This window comes from Homo sapiens, chromosome 3 (assembly GCF_000001405.40).
Source record: "Homo sapiens chromosome 3, GRCh38.p14 Primary Assembly".
NCBI lineage: Eukaryota > Metazoa > Chordata > Mammalia > Primates > Hominidae > Homo > Homo sapiens.
In genome coordinates, this window is record NC_000003.12 from 154,061,240 (window position 1) to 154,085,717 (window position 24,478).

The following is a 24,478-nucleotide window of genomic DNA, read 5'->3' on the forward strand; positions in this document are numbered from 1 at the left end:
AAAGTCGTGCCTCTATGAGCTTGCAACTGATTAAGAAAAATTTTAGCGTTAAAAATAATACATAATGTAACTGTGACTATTTTACATGTCTTAAGATTGTCAAATTCCTTTGTGCTGACAAGGATTAGAGATTTCTCACAAAAAAATGTCAGTTGAGCTGAACCTTAAAAGAAATAAATAAATGCACAGAGGCAAGAAGCACAAATACCATCTAATTCCTGCTCTAGTCTAAAATTCCACTGCAACCATGATCAAAGTATCCACTTTGAAAACAACAAGTAGGTTTTCTGAGTGTTTTAAACTCTATTTATTTTTTATTTTCTATTAAGTTTAAATACCAGAACTGGTACTAACTCTAATCGCCTAAACTAATACATAGATTCCCATCCTTCAAGGTAACTAAAGAGATTGGTTTTGTTTTCTTTTAAATTTCACAGTCACATAGGTATAGTTTTTGTTTTTATTTGTTTTACCACAGGTAAGGATTAAATCAGGCTGAAATATGCTGGTTTTAAAAGCTTTACTTATCACACTTTCATCTGAAAATAGCTTCACCATCAAATACTTCCTCTTCCATATACCTAATGTGTAGTTACCTCCCACTAGATACCATTTCTGCCAAGAAGCTAAAAGGTCCTTACTCCCTTCAGACCTGTTCATCCCAACACAGTCTTTCCTAGACACACACACACACACACACACACACACACACTCACACACACATTGTGGGAAAAGGAATAAAACTCTGCCCCCAGATATCTCCTCATTTTCATGAAGCTATCCCCTGAAAGCCCATAGAATATTGCATTATGAAGAGTGACGGTGTGTTAACTTCACACATTCTGATAAGCTCAGACTTATAAAACCACCTCCTGATGACTGACTCCTCTCTCTCTGTGTATATATATATATACACAGAGACAGATATAGCTATAGAGTAGTTGCCCAATTTCTCTTGACTGCCTCAGACGTAGAGAACTCAGCATGTTCCACGTAAGCCTTTTTACAAGTACTAATTTCTTCAGTTAGCTATCATTCAACAAACAACAGTACCTGTCATAATTTCATACTTTTTAATTTTGAAATAAGATTATCTGGGGGTGGGACCTAAAGCATCAAGATTTTGACAGCTCCCAGACATAATATTCAACCAAGGAAGCTCCAAGAGAATGGGATTGTTGTAGGAGTTACTAAGAAATTATTTTAGGCAGATAGAGAGGAAAAGGGGTCCTTGGGAAGTTTTAATTTTTAAAGCATCCCCAGAAAAGTTTCTTGTAAAGCCCTGGCTCTTAGAACCAGGCCGGCAAACTTTGATATGCAAATGCAGGCCATTAGAAACTGGGTCCACCCAACATTGCAATTCCCGTGCCCTTCTTGCCCTTGCCCCACATGTGCCTGGAAGCATGGTCGCCCCCACATATCCCTGCGTGTGTGGAACATCATGGCGCCTTGAATTTGCATATTAAAAGGCTAGGCTGGGAGGGCCAGTTTTTTGTGGGCTACGTGAATGACATGCCTGGTCAAACCAATCCCCTGAGCCCTATGCAAATCAGACACCACCTCCTCCAGCCATGGAATACAGCTGGTTGATATTACCTGAAAGCAGGGTTCTGTCTGTCTCTTGACTTTGGAGCCTCCCTCCCTCTGTCTCTGCGCAGGGGAGCTGCTTCTTTCTTTCTTCCCCCTTCTTTCTTGCCTATTAAACTCCCTGCTCCTTAAAACTACTCCACGTGTGTCCGTGTTGGTTTTTCTAATTCGACTCGAGAGGAAGAACCTGGTGTTCCTCCACTCATTGGAGCTGTATCAGGATCATGTCTGTCACTCTGTCTTGTTTGTTTAGCGGTCGACCACTAGCCCGTGCGCAGTGCCTGGGCATGGGAGGCTCTTTTTAAAATGATTCATCAAATTGTCATTAATGAAACTAGTACATGGTTAATTAATAGAAATAGTTCATTGATTGAGGTGACAGAAAGAGAGTCTCAGTAGAGTGGGAACAATTATTTGAAAAGTCTCATAATTCTGATGACATAATCAACCTGCACTCTTCCACTGTCATAGCTGGGAATCACTAAATTGGACTACACAATGTTAGAACTGGAAGGGCCTTAGAGATGACTTGGTCATTGGCTTTCAGCTTGGAATCTGCCAAGCCCTCGAGTTTCTTAGTGGGACCTCAAGGGTGGGTAAGGTGGTGAGGGGAAGGCCAAGCCAGTGGGGACCCAGCTTCCATGTCATCTCTCCAACAGAGGAACTTTGCTTTTATTCCTTCATTCAGCAACTACTTGCTGAGTATATACATTTCACCAGGTTTATGGTTATGCTAAGGACACAGGAATGAGAAAAAAAATTGCCTTTCTTATAACTCACAATTGTACATGGTTTATTTGTTGAGTTCTACATAAGATTTCTTCTGAAAAAGAGCTCTTTGATAGCTAGATAGATAACGCAGATATGTAAACAAACTAAAGGCCTACTTCTTCACTTTATAGATAAACTGAGATTAAATGAATTACTGAATTAACGGTCAAAAACATGTCAGAACCAAGACCGAACTCTACTTCCTCTGTCACCAAGCCCAGTGGTCTATCCATATGACATTTCACATTATAGAAGTAGTGGTTTCATGAAAGAACTGAGACTACATACAAGAACAGATCCTTACCATCTCCCTCATGGAGTTTAGAGTTCCGTAAAAATGGAACTGCCAGTAGCTCGGTATATTGGTCAGCATAACTGGTTGCAAGTACCTAAAACACCAACTCAAACTGGATTGAACCATACAGAGAACTTATTGATTCATGTAACTGAAAAGTCCAAAAGGAGGTACAGTTTCAGAAGATTGATCCAATGGTTCATACAATGTGACTAGAACATAGTTGCTTCCTCTTGTTCCTCAGCAATATTTCCTTAGCAATGGCTCCATTCCCAACAGGCATTCTCCTTGAAGTCTCAAGAAGGTGTCCAGGCTACATGTTTTCAGTAGAAAAGAGAAAATCTGCTTACCAGAACTGGAATCCCAGAACATAATCTTATTGATCTGAATTCATCTGTACCTATCTGGGCTAATATGCTGATGGGCTTAAGGTGACTGAGAACTCTGAATCTGATTGTATCTGAATCTAACTGAGCAACCCAGTTAGCCAATGAGAATTCTAATGAGAAATCTAAACTTTTAAAGTTTATTAAACATTCAAACATGAACACTAAAACATAATAGTGCTAGTGTTTCCGGATGTGTTTTTCTTTGCTATAATATTACATATTGTTCAAATTTGTATAAGATAATATTTAAATGACGAGTGTAAAAAGTTTGCAATACACATTTGACTCTTGTACATCCAAAGATGCTTTGTCTTGGTTATACGGTGGTTGATAAATAAAAACTGTAGGCTTATTCACAACCTTTCCTCAAACTTATGTACTTGAGCTGAGTCCTAAATAGCCACAAACAAAATATGCTATTCTTGCTTATAAGTACTATTTTAAAAGTAAAAGATGGCACACTTGGTGTGAATGCTCAGTTGTTGCTTTTAATTATAAATACATTTGGAGTTATATTTTTTGTGTTGGTATGAAACAATGTGTTTTCATGAAGCTAACATTAAGTTTACACTGACCCCACTGATAGCATCTGCCATCTCGTCTTCTGAAATTATAACATTTCTGAGATTGTATGAATTGGTAGAAATTATTTTATGTGTATGTGTACAATGATAAGTGATTTTTAAATTTTACTTTCTCCATTATATTTCTTAGGCTTCTCTTAAGCCAACAGTTCAAATTTGAGAAAAAAGTAGTATCATTACCTACTCATAATATTTGTGAAGATATTTATATGATGGAAATTATAAAGAAGATGACCCATCTTCATTTATTCCTATCTCCTAGTCAAACTTTTTTTTCATAATTTTTTTTTGGTCTGGCATTGTCACATAATGACTGAAAAAGTGCCTCTTATGATCTTCACACCTGATAAATGAATGAGTGACTGGATATACTGTAGAGTGTCAGAGTGTTTAGGGAAGCCTAGCACAATCTATGGAAGATTGTACCGAGGAATGTTTGTTCACTATTTGATTGACTCTATGGTGAAGATGTAATAATAGTTGACATTGCAAACACAATGTGCTTTGCATGTTTTCACACATTCAAATCTTCACAATAACCTTATGAGGTTATTATCTTAATTTCACAGATGAGGATTATTAACACAAAGAGGCTAATTTTCTCACATGCCTCTTCTAAATGTCTGTTTTTATTCTCATCTGTCTAATCTGTCTACTATGATTCTCTCAAAGCATAGAAAATTGGTTCTCAACCCTGCTCCCCATGAGGTAAACAGGATATGTTTTTAAATAATGATTATCTTAAAATACAAAAGACCAATGATAGAAACTACAGGTGAAGATGAGGAGCAACTGCAATTTCCATCTTTGACAAATAGGAATGTAAATAGGTACAACCACATTGGGACAAACAATTTAATCTAACAAATTATTTGGCATATGGTAAGTAAATGGGCAGATTACCTCCACTGCTTTGATTTGCATTTATTTTGACTGTGAATAATGTCTGGTTCTGAGTAGCTCTTGGGAACTACCAGACACTCCTGCTAGCACCCCAGAAAAGTGGGCCTTCAACCCTCTCACTGCTGACACAGCTGACACTCCTTTGATCCAACGTTTTTCAATCTTCCCTGCTCTCAGATGCCTTATTTTCTGTTTTCTGCCCTAAGCTCCTCTAGATCTGATACTCAGTGCTACTATGACCATTCCTTTCCTTCTGTTACTTGTGCTTTCCCTCCAACTGACTGGCCTCAGTGGTTCTGGGCGAACTTTCTCCTACGCCCCTACCCGGGCCCAACTCATTCATGGCTAGTGTTTCCCTGGGATCAACCCATGGGTCCAGGTCTCTCTTCTCAGAACAGCCTAGAGACAGTTGAGTTTCACAGTAATTTCTTGGCAGAACTACTCTAGTAAGAAGGATCATCTGCCAGGCTTTATGTGAGACCCGGACATGAATCCTGATAGTTGGTGCAAAAGTAGTCGCGGTTTCAGACCCTGAATTTTAAATTATTATAACTAGGCTCAAACACATCTTTATTAATGAAAATACAAACCATTACAATTAAAACATTTTTGCCAATGAGAAATAAGTTTGTTTATTCCTGTAGCATAAAAATCCATGCTTAGGGATTCAACAAACTCTTGGAAAGCATTTTCTGCATCCTGCTGGTTGTGGAAGCGTTCTCCCTGAAAAATGTTGTCAAGATGCTTGAAGAAGTGGTTGGAGAAAGGTCAGGTGAATATGGCACATGAGGCAAAATTTCGTAGCCCAATTTATTCAACTTTTGAAGCATTCATTGTGCCAATGTATGGTCAGGCGTTGTCCTGGAGAAAAATTGGGCCCTTTCTGTTGACCAATGCTAGCTGCAGGCTTTGCAGTTTTTGGTGCATCTCATCAATTTGCTGAGCATACTTCTCAGATGTAATGGTTCCACCAGGATTCAGAAAGCTGTAGTGAATCAGACCGGCAGCAGACCACCAAACAGTGACCATGACCCTTCTTTGGTAAAAGTTTGGTGTTGGGAAGTGCTTTGAAGCTTCTTCTTGGTCCAACCACTGAACTGATCATTGCTGGTTGTCGTATAAAATCTACTTTCGTCGCACGTCATAATCCGATTGAGAAATGGTTCATTGCTGCTGTGTAGAATAAGAGAAGATGACACTTCAAAATGACGATTTTTAAAAATTTTTGGTCAGCTCATGGGGCATCCATTTATTGAGGTTTTTCACCTAATTTCCTTCAAATGCCAAATGATGGTAGAATGCTCAACACTGAATTCTTCAGGCACTTCTCCTGTAGTTGTAAGAGGATCCGCTTCGATTATTGCTCTCAATTGGTCGTTGTCAACTTCCTACGGCCAGCCACTATGCTCTTCATCTTCAAGGCTCTCGTCTCTTTTACTAAACTTCTTGAACCACCACTGCACTGTGTATTTGTTAGCAATTCCTGGGCCAAATGTGATGTTGATGTTGCAAGTTGTCTCCACTGCTTTATGACCCATTTTGAACTTGAATAAGAAAATCGCTTGAATTTGCTTTTTGTTGTTGCGGGAAGTCAGGGACCCCAAATGAAGGGACCGGCTGAAGCCATGGCAGAAGAACGTGGATTGTGAAGATTTCATGGACATTTATTAGATCCCCAAATTAATACTTTTATAATTTCTTACGCCTGTCTTTACTGCAATCTCTGAACATAAATTGTGAAGATTTCATGGACACTTATCACTTCCCCAATCAATACCCTTGGGATTTCTTATGCCTGTCTTTACTTTAATCTCTTAATCCTGTCATTTTCGTAAACTGAGGAGGATGTATGTCACCTCAGCACCCTGTGATGATTGTGTTAACTGCACAAATTGTTTGTAGAACATGTGTGTTTGAACAATATGAAATCTGGGCACCTTGAAAAAAGAACAGGATAACAGCAATGTTCAGGGAACAAGAGAGATAACCTTAAACTCTGACCACCAGTGAGCCAGGCAGAACAGAGCCATATTTCTCTTCTTTTCAAAAGTAAATGGGAGAAATATCGCTGAATTCTTTTTCTCAGCAAGGAACATCCCTGAGAAAGAGAATGCGTCCCTGAGGGTGGGCCTCTAAAATGCCCCCCTTCGGTGCGGCTGTCTTTTATGGTCCAGCTGTAGGGATGAAATAAGCCCCAGTCTCCCATAGCACTCCCAGACTTATTAGGACGAGGAAATTCCCACCTAATAAATTTTTGTCAGACCGGATGTCTGCTCTCAAACCCTGTCTCCTGATAAGATGTTATCACTGACAACGCGTGTAGAAACTTCATTAGCAATTTTAATTTCACCCTCATCCTGTGGTCCTGTGATCTCGCCCTGCCTCCATTTGCCTTGTGATATTCTATTACCTTGTGAAGCACATGATCTCTGTGACCCACACCCTATTTGTGCACTCCTTCCCTTTCGAAAATCACTAATAAAAACTAGCTGGTTTTGTGGCTTGTGGGGCATCACGGAACCTACTGACATGTGATGTCTCCCCCGGATGCCCAGCTTTACGATTTCTCTCTTTTGTACTCTGCCCCTTTATTTCTCAAACTGAATTTGCTTTTTGTCTAACATCATTTCCATAGTCTAAAATAAACATAAAATAAACAGCAAGTAATAAGTTATTAGCAAAAAATAGCCATAATTCCCATATATTTAAGAATGAATTCCTTTATCAAATGACAAATTCTAACAACGCAAAAACCGTAATTACTTTTGCACTCACCTAATATTTTGGGTCTACCACAATCCTTGCTCAACATAAACTACTCGAAATGTGTTTAATTCTATTAAACACTGATCAGAAGCTTGCATAAGTCAATTTTTAAATGTTTCTCAAAAAAACGGATTTGCTATTTTTACATGAAAACACATCCTGAAAACAAACAACCCCATCAACAAGTGGGCGAAGGATATGAACAGACACTTCTCAAAAGAAGACATTTATGCAGCCAAAAGACACATGAAAAAATGCTCATCATCACTGGCCATCAGAGAAATGCAAATCAAAATCACAATGAGATACCATCTCACACCAGTTAGAATGGCGATCATTAAAAAGTCAGGAAACAACAGGTGCTGGAGAGGATGCGGAGAAATAGGAACACTTTTACACTGTTGGTGGGACTGTAAACTAGTTCAACCATTGTGGAAGCCAGTGTGGCGATTCCTCAGGGATCTAGAACTAGAAATACCATTTGACCCAGCCATCCCATTACTGGGTATATACCCAAAGGATTATAAAACATGCCGCTATAAAGACACATGCGCACGTATGTTTATTGTGGCACTATTCACAATAGCAAAGACCTGGAACCAACCCAAATGTCCAACAATGATAGACTGGATTAAGAAAATGTGGCACATATACACCGTGGAATACGATGCAGCCATAAAAAAGGATAAGTTCATGTCCTTTGTAGGGACATGGATGAAGCTGGAAACCATCATTCTCAGCAAACTATCGCAAGGACAAAAAACCAAACACCGCATGTTCCACTCATAGGTGGGAACTGAACAATGAGAACACATGGACACACGAAGGGGAACATCACGCACCAGGGCCTATTGTGGGGTGGGGGAAGCGGGGAGGGATAGCATTAGGAGATATAGCTAATGTTAAATGACAAGTTAATGGGTGCAGCACACCAACATGGCACATGTATACATATGTAACAAACCTGCACGTTGTGCACATGTACCCTAAAACTTAAATATAATTAAAAGAAAAAAAGAAAACACATCCTGGATGATGTATGTAAATACAGATTAGTTGAAGCTGTTTTTTTTTTCCATTTGAATAAGTGTCACAAAAGTGTCGAACACAAAAGCTGTAAATAAACAGTTTTATAGGAGCAGATTGGGAGAAGTATAAGAATTTTCTGTTTAACAAAAGAAAAGAAAGAAAAAAATACCTTTTAAGGTAGATAACGATGTTATCAAGCTGTTTATTTCTTAAACTTGTTTCTAGTAACTGATGCAAAAAAAGAAGAGGAAAAGAGCTGAAGTCTTTAAGATGTCATTACAAAGTACTACTTACTAAAATAATACACAGTAAAACAGCGTTACAGACAATCTTTAAAGGAACACACAAAAGCCAAGGTCACATTGCTGATACAAAGCTTTCCCTGATGGACCCTTTCTGCCAAAATCCATGTGTGCTTTGATGTCCAAAATAAAACTTGGGTATAAAACCCACCTTTCTATGCACTAGACTCAGGGCCTTTGAAAGATATTTTGTTCTTCTATAGACCACACAAGATTTGCATCATTTTTCTTCTATTCCTAGTGCAGAGATAATTATTTTCTTCCCAGCTGTTAAGTTTCCATTCATGTACATGAGGTATGTGTGGTTCATTTCAGGATTCTCAACCTCCTAAAAAATAGTGGTTGCTGCATGTATTAGTCCATTCTTACACTGCTATAAAGAAATACATGAGAATGGAGATTTATAAAGAAAAGAGGTTTTCATTGGTTCCTGGTTCCTCAGGCTATACAGTAAGCATGGCAGCATTTGCTTCTGGGGAGGCCTTAGGGAGCTTTTACTTGTGGTGGAAGACAAAGCAAGCAGGAGCAGGTGTCTTACAAGGCAGGAGCAGGACCAAGGAGAGAAGAAAGAGGTGCTACATACTTTTAAACAACCAGATCTCACGATAACTCACTCCTAAGCCATTCATGAGAACTCCGCTCACATGATCCAATCACCTTCCACCAAGCTCCACCTCCAACACTGGGGATTAGAATTCAATATGAGATTTGGTGGGACACAGATCTAAACCATATCACTGCATGTCACAACGTGTCACATTCTGGAATAAATATATATATTTAACGAAGTGTATTAATTAATGCTTTTTTGGTTGTGACAGAATTCAGTTTGGCATATGCAAAGAAAAAAATTAGGTGGGGGGAGGGTAGAGTAAAAATTAATTTCCTCATGAGACTCAATAGGTCAACGGTACCTACCTGACAGGATTAGATCGGCCTTAGAGAATGATTGCATTTAAGAACCCAACCTTGTCTATGTGGTTCTCTCCATTCCTTGATTTTGCTTATCTTTGTATATATTGACTTTATTTTCTCCTACTATAGATGGCTTTCTCCTTGCAGCATTGGAAGGAAAAGGATGGCTGTAGACAGCTCCAGGTTTGTATTATTCTAGTCAGTTCACTAAGAGAAAAGAGACATATTCTCTCTTCCAGTGTCCACATATAAAATTCTATGGCAGTATGACAGAATCAAGCAGTTCTTGATTGGCAGACACACATGAAATGCATGGAGTAGAGGACTAACAGTTCACCAAATGAAAGGGAGATGCCATGACCCAAAGATGTGGGTGAGAGATAATGGCCAGATAAAAACAACAGATGTTGATAAGCAGTGTGGCAGATGCTTTTGGTGTCCACTCCATATCCTCTTGATCCAGCTCTGAGTTCACCTGTCACTGTGGTAGATGGTTTCTGGCACACTGGTAGCTTCCCCTCTTGAGTTCCTGCTTCTACTCATTTATCTGCCTGAGGGTTTTCTCTACACTGTGAAAGCTTGCGCCATCACAGAGACTCATGACAAAGCATGAGTGAATTAACTACCAGGGATAGAGTCAATCCTCATTCAGAGAAGAGTGTGAATTGGTAGGTAAAATCCTAACCTTCTCATTGTCCAGTGGGACAATTCTGAGGTATGTTCAATATGCTTTCTTAGAATGTCTCTAGTGCGATTGAATTCCAATTGCCTACAAAGATAGCTGGTTTATTTATACTTTTTATTGGTTCTTTTTCTTTTCCTGTCTCTCTTCCATATTACCTCACTTGGCTGCCTGAATTTACATCTTAAATAAACCACCAACACCCAAGTCCTTATGTCAAGGCCAGCTTTGTGGGGAGCCCACAGAAAGACAACCAACTTATCCACTCAATTTTCCAAATAATAACTGCATTATACACTGGGAATATAACACTAAACAATATAGGTATAGTCTCTTTGGAGATGATAGAAAAGAAATTTAACCTCTAATTATAATTACTATCATATTATTCTCATTGGCATTCTTGGCGCCAATTAAGATAAGGAGAATGGCTGATTATATAGGTTTAATTCAGTTAATAAAGGTATTGGCTAGAAAAGAAATTTAACTCTCAGATCACATAATAAAAATAGAAATCAATGCAAAGGAGATTTCTCAAAACCACTCAATTACCTGGAAATTAAACAACTTGCTCCTGAATGACTTTTGGGCAAACAAGAAAATTAAGGCAGAAATCAAAAAATTATTTGAAATAAATGAAAACAGAGACACAGCATACCAAAATTTCTAGGATGCACCAAAAGCAGTGCTAAGAGGAAAGTTTATAGGGCTAAATACCTACCTCAGAAAGTTAGGAAGGTCTCAAATTAATGATCTAATCACACCTAGAGAAACTAGAAAAACACGGACAAACTAACCCCAAAGCTAGTAGAAGAAAATAATTAACTAAAATTAGAGTAGAATTTAATGAAGTTGAGACCCATACAAAGAATCAACAAACTATCCATACAAAGAATCAATGAAATCAAAAGTTGGTTATTTGAAAAAATAAACAAGGTTGATAGACTGCTAGCTAGATTAACAAAGAAAAAGAGAGAAGATCCAAATAAGCATAATCAGAAACGACATAGATGACATTACAATGATTCTCTTCAGAGTCTGTTATGAACACCTCTATGCACAGAAACTAGAAAATCTAGAGAAAAATGAAAAAATTTCTGGAAATGAACAACCTCCCAAGATTTAACCAGGAGGAAATTGAAAACTTAATCAGAACAATATTGAGTTCTGAAATTCAATCAATAATAAAAATTCTGCCAACCAAAAAAAAGCCTCAGACCAGATGGATACACAGCTGAATTCTACAAGATGTACAAAGAAGAGCTGGTACCAATTCTACTGAAACTTTTTCAAAAAATTGAGGAGGAAGAACTCCTTCATAACTCATTCTATGAAGTCAGCATCACCCAGATACTAAAACCTGGCAAAGATACAACAAAGAAAGAAAATGAGAGGCCAATCCCTGATTAACATAGACACAGAAATCCTCAACAAAATACCAGCAAACCCAATCTAGCAGCACATCAAAAAGTTAATTCACCATGATCAAGTAGGCATCATTCCTGGGATGCAAGGTTAGTTCAACATACACAAATCAATAAATTTAATTCACCACATAAACAGAATTGAAGACAAAAACCACATGATCATTTCAATAGACATGAAAAAAGCTTTTAATAAAACCCAAGACCTCCTCATGATAAAAACCCTCAACAAACTGGGCATTGATGGAAAATACCTCAAAATAATAACAGTCATCTATGACAAGCCCACAGCCAATATCATACTAAATGGGCAAGAGCTGGAACCATTCCCTTTGAGAACTAGACTAAGACAAGAGTGCCCAGTCTCACCACTCCTTTTCGAAATAGTTCCAGAAGTGCTAGCCAGAGCAATCAGGCAAGAGAAAGAAATACAGGGCAACCAAATAGGAAAATAAAAATTCAAACTACCTCTCTTCACGGATGATATGATTCTATAACTAGAGAACCTAAAAGATTCTGCCAAAAGGATCCTGGAATAAACTACTTCAGTATAGTTTCAGGATACAAAATCAATGTACAAAAATCAGTAACATTTCTATAAACCAATAATATTCAGGCTGAAAGCCAAATCAAGAACACAATCCCATTTACAATAGCCACATGAAAAAAAATAAAATACCCAAGAATACAGCTAACTAAGGAGGTGAAAAATCTCTACAAAAAGAACCACAGTACTGCTCAGAGGGATCATAGATGGCACAAACAAATGGAAAAACATTCCATGTCCATGGATTAAAATAATCAATATCATTAAAATGGCCATACTGCCCAAATAAATATACAGGTTCAAAGCTATTCCCATCAAACTACCAACATCATTTTTCACAGAATCAGATAAAAGAAACTATTCTAAAATTCATGTGGAACCAAAAAAGAGCCTGAATAGCCAAAGCAATCCTAAACAAAAATAAAAAAAGCTGGAGGCATCTCATTACCCAACTTCAAACTATACTGTAAAACTACAATAACTAAAACAGCATAGTACTGGTACAGAAACAGACACATAAATCAATGTAACAGAATAGTGAACCCAGAAATAAAGCCACACACCTACAGCCATCTAATCTTTGACAAAGTCACCAAAAACAAGTCATGGGGAAAGGACTCCCTACTCAATAAATAGTGCTGGGGTAGCTGGCTAGCCATATGCAGAAGAATGAAACTGGACTCCTGCCTTTTGCCATATATAAAAATTAAATCAAGATGGATTAAAGATTTAAATGTAAGATCTCAAACTATAAGAATCCTAGAAGAAAACCTAGGAAACACCATTCTGGACATTGGCCTTGGCAAAGAATTTATGACTAAGTCCTCAAAAGCAATTAGAACAAAACCAAAAATTGACAAATGGGACCTAATTAAATGAAAGAACTTCTGCACAGCAAAAGAAACTATCAACAGAGTGAACAAACAACCTACAGAATGGGAGAAAATATTCAAAACTATGCATCTGATAAAGGTCTAATATCCAGAATCTATAAAGAACTTAAGCAATTGAACAAGCAAAAAAGAAATAACATCATTAAAAAGTGGTGTCATGGTTACTAGTAGGTGTCGATTTGATTGGGTTGAAAGATACCCAGATGGCTGGTGAAATATTGTTTCTGGGTGTGTCTGTGAGGGTGTTGCTAGAGGAGACTGACATTTGAGTCGGCAGACTGGGAACAGAAGATCCACCCTCAATGAAGTTGAGTACCATCTAATTGGCTGCCAGTGCAGCTAGAACAAAGCAGGTGGAAGAATGTGGGATGGCCTTTCTTGCTGAGACTTCTGGCTTACTTCTTTATCCCGTGCTGGATGCTTCCTTCTGCTCCTCCTGCCCTTAAACATCAGAAGGCAGGTTCTTCAGCCTTTGGACTCTGGGACTTGCACCATGACTTGCCAGGAGTGGCATTGTTGGCTTCCCTGATTTTGAGGCTTTCGGATTCAGACTGAGCCACTACCAGCTTCTCTCTTTCCCGGCTTGCAGATGGCCTATCATGGGACTTCATCTTGTAATTGTGTGAGTCAATTCTCTCTAATAAACTCCTATAGGATATATACATATATATACCCCCCCTCCACACACATATATCCTATTAGCTCTGTCCCTCTGGAGAACCCTGACTGACACAGTGGGCAAAAGATATGAACAGACACTTCTTAAAATAAGACATACAAGCAATCAACAAACATATCCACATCACTAACCATCAGAGAAATGCGATTCAAAACCACAATGAGATTCCATCTCACACAAGTCAGAATGGCTATTATTAAAAAGTCAAAGAGAACAGATGCTCGCAAGGCTACAGAGTAAAGGGAACACTTACACACTGTTGGTGGGAGTGTAAATTACTTCAGCCATTATGGAAAGCAGTTTGGAGATTTCTCAAAAACATTAAAACAGAACTACCATTTGACCCAACAATCCCATTACTGGGTATATATCCAAAAGAAAATAAACTGTCTACCAAAAAGACATATGCACTCATATATTCATCACAGCACTATTAACAATAGCAAAGGTGGCTGTGCGTGTTGGCTTATGCCTGTAATCCCAGCACTTTGGGAGGCCGAGGTGGGCAGATCACCTAAGGTCGGGAGTTGGAGACCAGCTTGACCAACATGGAGAAACCCCGTCTCTACTAAAAATACAAAATTAGCCGGTGTGGTAGCATATGCCTGTAATCCCAGCTACTTGGGAGTCTGAGGCAGGAGAATCGCTTGAACTCGGGAGGCGGAGGTTGCGGTGAGCTGCAATCGTGCCATTGCACTCTAGCCCGGGTGACGGAGCCAGACTCTGTCTCAAAAAATAATAAAATAAAATAAAATAAAATAAAAAATAGCAAAGGCATGGAATCAATCTAGGTACCTATCAACGATGGATTGGATAAAGAAAATTTGGCACATAGGCACCATGGAATATTGTGTAGCTATAAAAAAGAATAAAATCACGTCTCTTGCAGCAACATGGATGCAGCTAGAGGCCATTATCCCAAGCAAATTAATGCAGGAACAGAAAACCAAATACCAGATATTCTCACAAATAAGTGGGAGCTAAACACTGGGTATTGCTGGACATAAAGATGGCAACAATAGACACTAGTGACTACTAGAGGGAGGACAGAAAGAGGGGATCAAGGATTGAAAAACCAAGTAATGGGTACTGTGCTCATTACCTGGGAGATGGGATCAATCATACCCCGAACCTCAGTATCATACAATATACCCATGTAACAAACCTGCACATGTACCCCCTGAATCTAAAATAAAAGTTAAAATTATTCTTTAAAAAAGATGAAAGAGCAGAGGGAATGAATTATCCATTCAGGTTCATAAAAAGAAATGTTCTTTTTTCCAGTGGAAAAATATTTTTAACTATTTATTTATTTATGTGTAGTTATATTTTCCTTTGCCATACATTATAAAATTAGAGTTTGGGTCCCACCCAAAACCTTTGTTCCCAATTCTAAGAATAAATCAAATTTGGGAGTGTTATAAATGAATTCAGGCCCAGCTTGTCTCTTAGCTCATCTTTCTCTCATCCAATTTGTTGTCCATCTGCAGATTCAAATTTCACTGAAAATTATAGCACAAATTCTAATCTTCAGCAAAAGAAATTTAAATAATTCTTGCCCAGTACTTTGGGATTCAGAAGGAGATTATCTCTGACCTCAAGTCTCACAAATCACAACAAGGCTTTGGTCTTAATCCTGAGACTTGGGTGCCCACTGTGAATCATCTTCTAACAACTGAGTTTATTCATCATCCCTGGCCAACAGCTAATGTATCCATTGTTTTCCAACCCAAATGGTTGCGACAAAGAGCAAGTGCATTGGTCCAGGCAACTAAAAAGTCCAGAGGTAATGCTGTTCTTAGGCATCACACAAGCCAAGGTTTACTATATCCTTAGAGTTTTGTCTTCATTTCTCTGCAAATTTCCAGTTCTGCCCATCTTCTTCTGTCAGCCTTTTCCTTAAAATGGTTTCCCTCATGGTATCAAAACTGGCTGCAATAGTGCCAAAGAAGGAAGAGAGCATCTGCATTGCAGCCATCTTAGTAAAAGTCCTGACATTCACTATGGGACTACTAGAGGAAGGACAGCAGGAGGGGGTCAAGGTTTGAAAAACCGAGTAATGGATACTATGTTCACGACCTGGGAGATGGGATCGACCATACCCCAAACGTCGGTATGGGGTAATATGCTTATTGTCTTTCATTCTGTTTCTTTAGCTTTTTGTCTTAGTTATCTGCCTTGTTACTCATGCTATTTAGCACTGGATCTTATCTTGTTCTTTCCAACCCTCTGCTAAGGATCTGGTCCTGGGTCTATTGGCTAACTTTCCTAAAGGCAACTGTCTGGGCTTTTGACCATCAAACATCACTTGATTTCCTCTTGACTCTGCCCCACAAATCTCCCAGGATGCCCTCTTGAAGCCCCAGTGCTTCCATTTTCTTTTACCATACTGTTTTGTCTACCCTGACTTGCTTGTCGAATCGATACCATCAGTCCATGTGGCTAAGTCTGTTCACAGGCCAAGCATCAGTTCTAACCCCAGCTCCACACTCTCTATTCCACCTGTCAGTTTGTCAGGTGCTGTTGGGCCAAACCCAAGGTATTTTTTTTTTTTTAATTCTCGAAACTATACATTTAGAAAGAGGTAAAAATCTAATGAAAAGATAAAGAAAGCTACTCAAAATAATTTACAGATATTATTTTGAAAAATGCTGATTTAGATTTTTTTCTGGAAAGAACAATAGGAATTATACAGTGGTCTAAGAAAAGTAATTTTATTTACTAGTGACATTTTGAGCAAAGTATTTTCAAATAAATATGTTTAAGGTGGTAAAACTAGAATGCTACTGAATAACCTTTCAGATTCATAACAAATAGAACAGGGTTTAGAATAGGTTTAAGTCATTTGCACATAGCTCATCTGTTTATTCAAGTCCATACTTCTAAAGTGTTTGAGAACAGCTTGTTCCTTTTTTATCATCTTAAACATCTCATCTGCAGACTCACGTATAACATTAAGCTGCTTTAAAATATTTTCACCCCCTTTTAAATGGTTCAAAAATAAATTTTACCCCATGTCCCATCTGGCTTAGTATAAATTATGAATTGGCCGAAGCCAAAATTATATATTTTACGGACCAGGAACTAGCCTTTGAAGCAGAATTATGTGAGTGGCTGAGGTACGCTAAGCAGTCAGTCTCCCATTCCTGAAGATTGTGTCTCCCCATAGAGGTATTTCCTCCTAAAATGTTGCTCTCTTACATCTTTTATTAAAAGTAAAAAGGCCCAAAATAAAAACTCCTCCAGACTCAAAAATAATGTACTATAGTGACTGGCTCTTTCAAAACAGTGCAATCCTTCCATTTGAGGTCCTCCATGTTGCTCACATTAGTGATTGATAAAGTGCTAATTAAACTAATTTGGTGCTTGTGATTACACATTTATTTAAGTTCCTTCTTAACCTGATATATCTGTATCAAGAACAAAATATGACCTTTTTCAGAAAAAAAAAAGAGAAATAGAATTTTACGTCCCCCCAATCTTGAAGATTTTCAAATGCAACCATACATTTGAAAGATTTTCAAAGGTGTTCCTAAAAATTATTTTACTGTTGAAATGTGCATATAAAAGTTTTCTATTGGCTCCCAAAGATAAAATCTGTGTCTTTTAAAAATAATGTACTAGGCTGTGCATGGTGGCTCACGCCTGTAATCCCAGCACTTTGGGAGGCCAAGGCAGGCGGATCACTCAAGGCCAGGAGTTTCAGCACTCAGTCCCTTAGAGCTTCTCATTATCTCCCTGATATCAAAACCAAAAATCCATTGCTACTTATATTAACAGTGGTTTTCTTTTGGCATATAAGTATTTTTCTATATTCGTGGTTTTTGTTTGGCTTGTTTCACTTTGTTTTGTTTCGGTTTTAACAGAAGAGCCTTACTCTGTTGCCGAAGCTGTAGTACAGTGGTACAATTATAGCTCACTGCAGTCCTGAACTTCTGGGCTCAAGTAATCCTCCTGCCTCAGCCTCTGGAGTAGCTGGGATTACAGGAGTTCGCGACTAGCCTGGCCCAGACCCAGGAGTTTGAAACCAGCCTCGCCAACATGGCAAAATCCTGTGTCTACTTATGCCTCTGTCTCTGGAGTAGCTGGGATTACAGGCATGTGCCATGTTGCCCAGACTGGTCTTGAACTCCTGGGCTCAAGTGATCTGCCCTCCCCGGCCTCCCAAAGTGCTGGGATTACAGGTGTGAGCCACTGCGCCAAGCTGACGTGGTTATTTTCTAAGAAAATAAAATATTTCATTGTTCAGCAAAGAAGCCTTTTATGCTTCCCCATTTTCACTCTTAAGAGGAAATATTAATGTGATACAGGACAGGTGAGCCCCAAAATTGGGACTTAGCCCAAGAGAGTTCTTGGCATACCCAGGAAAGGATTCCAGGATGAGGCAGTGGGTAGACAGCAATCTTTTATTGAATGGTTCTGCTCCTTGTGGAGCAGGGCTAACTCACAGGCAGTGTGCCCAGAGTTGGCAATGTATGGGCTGCTGGCAACTGTGCTTATATCCACTTATACCCACTTTTAATTATGTGCAAATTAAGGGGCAGGTTAGTGCAATTTGAGAGGTGGGTTATTGAGAACTTTCTAGGAAAGGGGAGTAACTTCCAGGTTGTTGCCATGGCATTTGTAAACTGTCATGGTGCTGGTCTTATGCTAATGAGCTATAAGGGCCACTAGGGATCATTTTCATTACCATCTACTGGTTTCTGTTGGTTTCTTTACTTTATCCTGTCTGGACCAGATCCTGTTTTGGTCAGCAGGGTTGTGACCAGAATACAAGTCCTCCTGCTCTCCTACCTCTAATGCATTTACTGTTATCATAGCATGAAACTGAACAGGATACAGAATTACCTCGTGTTTCTTCAACTTTCAATATATGTTTTAAGTGTTCGCAATGACAGTTAAAGCAAATATTGAAAAATATACATGTCAACCTTTTTAGGAGTTTTAAAGTTACTACTTAGCAATGCAGTGTCACCTCCTCCAAGAAGTCCTGGTTGGACATCGGCTCTCTTAATAGGTGATTTACTGCTGCGCTTTCATAATACCTTGGACGTATCTGTCAGTGTATTTATCACACTATGTTAGTACTGAATATACAAATCATTAAGATAATAATAATAACATAGTGTGGGAGATAGGCATATGAACATGAAAAAATGGGGAAGCATAAAAAGCTTGTTTGCCGAACAATGAAATATTTTATTTTCTTAGAAATGAACAATATGTTCATATGCCTATCTCCCACCTCGGTTGTAAGAGAAGGATTTTTACTGATACCTGTGCCAGTGAGGTACTATTAGTACTGAATATACAAATCATTAAGATAGGATTCTGTACTCTGGGACATCCCAGCCTTATGATCTGGCTTCTGGGCGCTCCCCACTACCCACAGAGATTGCAAATCAACAAGCTTAGGATAGAAGAGGCTGGTACATATGTCGTCTTTGACTCACGTAATATTTTAGAAAAATTTCAGCCAATATTTAAAATGTGAGTGATTTCAACAAATCTCAGGATTTTAGCCATTCTTGAGAAATCTGAAGATCTGGCAGTACTTGGCCTGGTTTCTCATGTGGCATTAGTAAACCGCCACTAAGAAACAGTTATTCTTTTGCACAGGGCATGTGCTTCCCAGGTTATCTCAGTCCCTAGTGCTCCTCATTATCCCCTTGACATCAAAACCAATAATCCATTGCTATTTATATTAGCAGTGCTTTTCTTTTGGTATATAAATATTTTTCTATATTCATGGCTTTTGTTTGGTTTGTTTCGCTTTGTTTTGTCTGTAAGAGACAGGGTTTTACTCTGTTGCCCAAGCTGCAGCACAGTAGTACAATTATAGCTCACTGCTGCCTTGAACTCCTGGGCTCAAGTAATCCTCTTGCCTCAGCCTCCCAAGTAGCTGGGATTATAGGCACGGGCCACCACCTAGCTAACTTATTTATTTATTTTTTTGTGGGGACAGATTCTCACTTTGTTCCCCAGGCTGGTCTCAAACTCCTGGGTTCAAGTGATCCTCCCTCCTTGGCCTCCCAAAGTGCTAGGATTACAGGCATGAGACACCATGCCAAGCCTATTCATGTTTTTTAATTAAAAAAAAAAAAAGAGCAAGAGAACCATGGGATTTTAAAAAATATACCAACCTGCTTTAATTATTTGCTTACCTGAACTTATTTCAATAGCTTTCTGATTAATTCATTCAATACACTCAGGTGTGTGCTCCAGGCTTTACCTGGTCTCCCCACCTCTATTTCTCCCCTATTCTAACCCATCCTATATACCCTTATGGTATCATCACTATTTTCTAACACCTATAATACTAATGGCAGTAATAGTAGTAGTAGTAGCAATAGCAATAGCAGCAGTAACAACAGCAGCAATAGTTAATATCTACTGAATGCTAAGGATAACTAGCTGTTCTGCAGTGTCCTGTGTACATTACGTGCAGTAACATTTAATTCTTATGTCAACAGGTCAAGTAGGTAAGATTAATTATTACAGACTCTGAATGAACTCTGACCAATTCCATGCAGACACAACTCAACAGCACCTTGCTTCCTGCCTGCATCACACATTTCACTTCTGCTCAGTGCTTCTCTGTTGTTGCTGGTCATGTGGACCCCAACCAATTATGTGGTGCAACTCAGAAGAGCAGAGAATTCATGCCCCGCCAGACAAAGCTTTGACCATTAGGTGATGGGAGTCAGGGGCTAAATTCCTCCCCTCAGAAGTGAGAAAAATCCTTTATAACTAACATCAAGTGGCAGCCAAGTGAATAACACGTCCTCACATTGCACGTCCTTCTCTTCCTGTCCCACTCCCCTCACTCTTGCTCCTGAGGACTGCACTCCCTATGAAGTGCCAGTGCATGCACATTTGCCTCAGGCTCTGCTTCCTGGGAAACCCACACTGACCTTCTTCCCCCGCTTTTTTGCTTACATTATTTATATTGCCTTCAAAGACCACCTCATCATATTACTCATTTTTTAGCTGCAAGAGATAAAAAAACTAACTCTGCCGAGACCAGCTCAGTCGTGGAGACCCTAACCCAGCAGTGCTAAAGAAATTAAAGACACACACACAGAAATATAGGATGTGGAGTGGGAAATCAGGGGTCTCACAACCTTCAGAGCTGAGAGCCCTGAACAGAGTTTTACCCACATATTTATTGACAGCAAGCCAGTGATAAGCATTGTTTCTGTAGATTATAGATTTACTAAAAGAATTCCTTATGGGAAACAAAGGGATGGGCCAAAATAAAGGGATGGGCTCTGGCTAGTTATCTGCAGCAGGAACATGTCCTTAAGGCACAGATGGCTCATGCTACTGTTTGTGGTTCAGGAACACCTTTAAACGGTTTTCTGCCCTGGGTGGGCCAGGTGTTTCTTGCCCTCATTCTGGTAAACCCACAACCTTCAGCATGGGTATCACGGCCATCACGAACATATAACAGTGCTGCAGAGATTTTGTTTATGGCCAGTTTTGGGGCCAGTTTATGGCTAGATTTGGCGGCCTATCCACAGCAGAACTCAAGCTAAGTTAGTCAAAGAAATTGCAAGGGTTCTTGAATATTTCCCTTGGCAGAGGGAGGAAAGGGCTACAATTGGGCCTTAGGAAAAGTGAAAGCAGCGCTCTCTTGCACTTTGTCTCTCATTTTCATTTCCATTCTCATCTCTGCTCTTACGGATATATCAGCTTCATTTTCTCTGCAGTAGTCCAGCGTCTTCCCTGTGTTGTAGGACATGGTAGACGAGAGTTCCCAGCACGTATTTCCCATGGCTCCCATACATTGAGAGTTGACCACTTCTATTCCTTAAAATTCAGATTGAGAATTCCCAAGAGCAGGTTCTACCTGATCTGGTTTAGGATGGGTCAGCGAGGAGTCGGGGAAGGACAGTCACAGAGGACTGATATGGCCTCAAGGGCTTACTCCCAGCTGAATCTTTATGGGACAGGACTCTACCAGATTCAAGGCCTGTCAATGCCCAACCTGTGGTACTTCCTGCATAAACCTCCTCTGATCCTGAAAGTCATCATGTGGTAATTAAAAGAGCATGGGCCACCATGTATTCATCACAAAATGCCAACTCTGAATTCTTCCCAGGCATACCATTCTGAGCCTCAGTTTTCTCATCTATGAGGCAGGTAAAATAATGCCTACCATGTGACAGAAGAAATGATGTTTAATGTGCCTAACGTGTAATAGGTATTCAATAAATTCCACCAACCAAAATTAACATCTATCTCTCCAGGTGCAATGGCTCATGCCTGTAGTCCCAGCAACTCAGGAGGATCGCTTGACCCAGGAGTTGGAGGCTGCAGTGAGCTATGATCATACCACTGCACTCTAGCTTGGGCAACAAAGTGAGATCCTATCTCTTAAAAAAAAATAAAAGGTAACATCTCCCTTGAGCATTTATACAACATAGCAAATATTTGTATCATTTTATCTCTTTGTCACCATTTTTTGTGTATATTTTATCTCCCCTATTTGATCAAATATTCCCTAAAGACAAGGAATGTCTTATTTCTCTTCTTAGCTCTCGTAACCTTGGTATATTTTCCAGCACATTGGAGGTGAAGTATAAATATTTATTAAAAGAGTAATTCAACTGTACTCTATAAAGTGATCTGGTTTTTATTTGCAGATTATTACAACTTTTTGAAAATGATTAGTTCTTCCTCAGATTCAAGTAAATCTTTTCTTAACTTTGAATGAGAAAAACTTTTTCTTCCTTTCTCAAAATTTACTAAATGCGTTCTGTGTAGCAAGTACTGTTAGAAGTACTAATAATTGAAAAATGGAATCAACTCTCTCTGCCCTTAAAGAGTTGAATATTAACTTGTTGACGTAGTCATTTAATTTTCAGATGTATTTTTCTATATAGTTAATTCCACATGTTCTTCATATGCTGAAAAAATAAACATCTTTAAAATTGGCTTCCTTTCTATTCCATGTTGCCTTTAGTTCCACACCCATGATGCAAGTGGAAACTGTTCATGTGTATTCGATTACATGAAAATGGCTTGTATATTTTCTTCTATTAATTACAGTGATTTTAAAATTCATAAACTATTTCCTTCTCCACCCCATTTGCCATATGCACACCATATTAGTTACACATCTTTGGCTTAACACAGCTAGAACACAGAAATATTTACTATATGTAAATAAAAGGCTTTAACCACATACATTTTCTGGGTTTTACATATAAAACTTATTATTTCTCAACTATATTTCTCAATTGCCTATACAAACAATGTAAATAACTCATTTTAAGTAAAGAATGACAAAGTTAAGTCTTTAGTCAAAATAAAAAAAAAAGTCATTCTGTTACAGCCTGTTTCACTCTTGAAGGCTTAAACCATGTTTTCTCTGACTATTGTAATGGGTTTGCCACAATTTTATCAGTCCTATGTAATTGCAGGTTCTAGATGAAATAAAGAACCCCACCCACTCTGGACACCTTTAGCCAAATGAGCCTCACTTTGCCCACCCCAATGTGTGCTCAAAGCTAGGAACTCCAAGCTGGTCTCCCTTTTCTCTCCTTTCTTTTATCAGGAAACCCCTTTATCATTTGTGATGAACACTACAAATTCAAACATCTGGCTATGGACATTATTGGCATCCCTGGAGCTCACTCAATTGCAAAGCATTCCACATAGAAATACGTACCTGTAGAGCTTCAAGAAGCCTTGGAGATCAAGAAGTACTGGACCTTCATTTTGCAGATGAAGAAAAAGCTCTATCAAAGTGAACACTGAATTGAATTTGGTTGACTTGCTGAAGTGAACATACAAGTTGGTAAAGGAGTCTGCATGAATGATTACATAGCCTGTTTTAGGAGAAGGACCTACTGACCTCTAAATGCTAGCTATACAGTCATCCCTTGGTATCCTGAGGGACTGGTTCCAAGACTCTTCCTTGAATGCCAAAGTTCACAGATGCTCACATCCCTTATAAAAATGGTGTAGTATTTGTATATAACCTGTGCAAGTGGGGTCTTGGTCAAAACATATCTTGGGGTCTTGGTCCCACCCCACTGCAAGTGTTCTCATGGAGGTTCACACCCAAGCAGACCTGCTTTTCCAGACAGTGTGCAAAGATTCATATTCTTTCTTTTCCACCATCAGAACACCTGTATTTCCTAGTCTTCCCAGCCAAATTGGTTAAACCAATCCATCCTTCATTGTACATCATGGATTTAATCCTTGTAGGATAGTTTGCTTGTTAAAAGAGGCATTTTTATTAGCCCTGAAAAATGATTAATGATAGCACCAGGACAGGATTGGAGTGGGGCTTAGCGGCAGCTTTAAAACTTCTGTAAAATGAATTTCAGCTGGTGGATGCTTCAGAATTTTTATGTAAGAAAGCTCAGCTGACTCATCCTGTTTAGAAGTGGGTATTGTGGGGCTTTTGGTGAAGCTGCATTTGCCTAGCAAACCCATTGCTTTTTCATAGATTTTCTAGGAAATTACTTGGAGTGGCTTTGGGGACAATGAGAGAAATCAAGACAAGTTGTCCCTTGACACATCAACAGATTATGCTACTTCTCAAAATGGATAGTATTTGGTCTAAAGAGTATTTGGTCTAAGGAGCTGATCCAAAATCTTTTTTCACTTTTTTACAAATTCCTGCCTTCCCAGTCCTGGTCACATTTGTCTTAATTTTTTCATGAAGTAAAAAACAATCAACATAAACCATGAGTATT

At 38.9% G+C, this 24,478-nt stretch overlaps 1 long non-coding RNA gene across 1 annotated transcript in view, besides 1 other annotated feature; it reads right to left on the reverse strand.

The window, feature by feature from the left end:
- Positions 1 to 24,478, reverse strand: part of ARHGEF26-AS1 (ARHGEF26 antisense RNA 1) — a 96,810-nt gene that overhangs the window by 36,839 nt on the left and 35,493 nt on the right. The gene's annotated exons all lie outside the window — the stretch shown is intronic.
- Positions 9,109 to 9,278: an enhancer, noted in NCBI's record as "experimental_65370 CRE fragment used in MPRA reporter constructs". NCBI's record gives its function as "activates a minimal promoter by MPRAs in K562 erythroleukemia cells, with activity observed for both the introgressed and non-introgressed 3:153788222 variant alleles {active_cell/tissue: K562}" and the evidence as "EXISTENCE:reporter gene assay evidence [ECO:0000049][PMID:34662402]".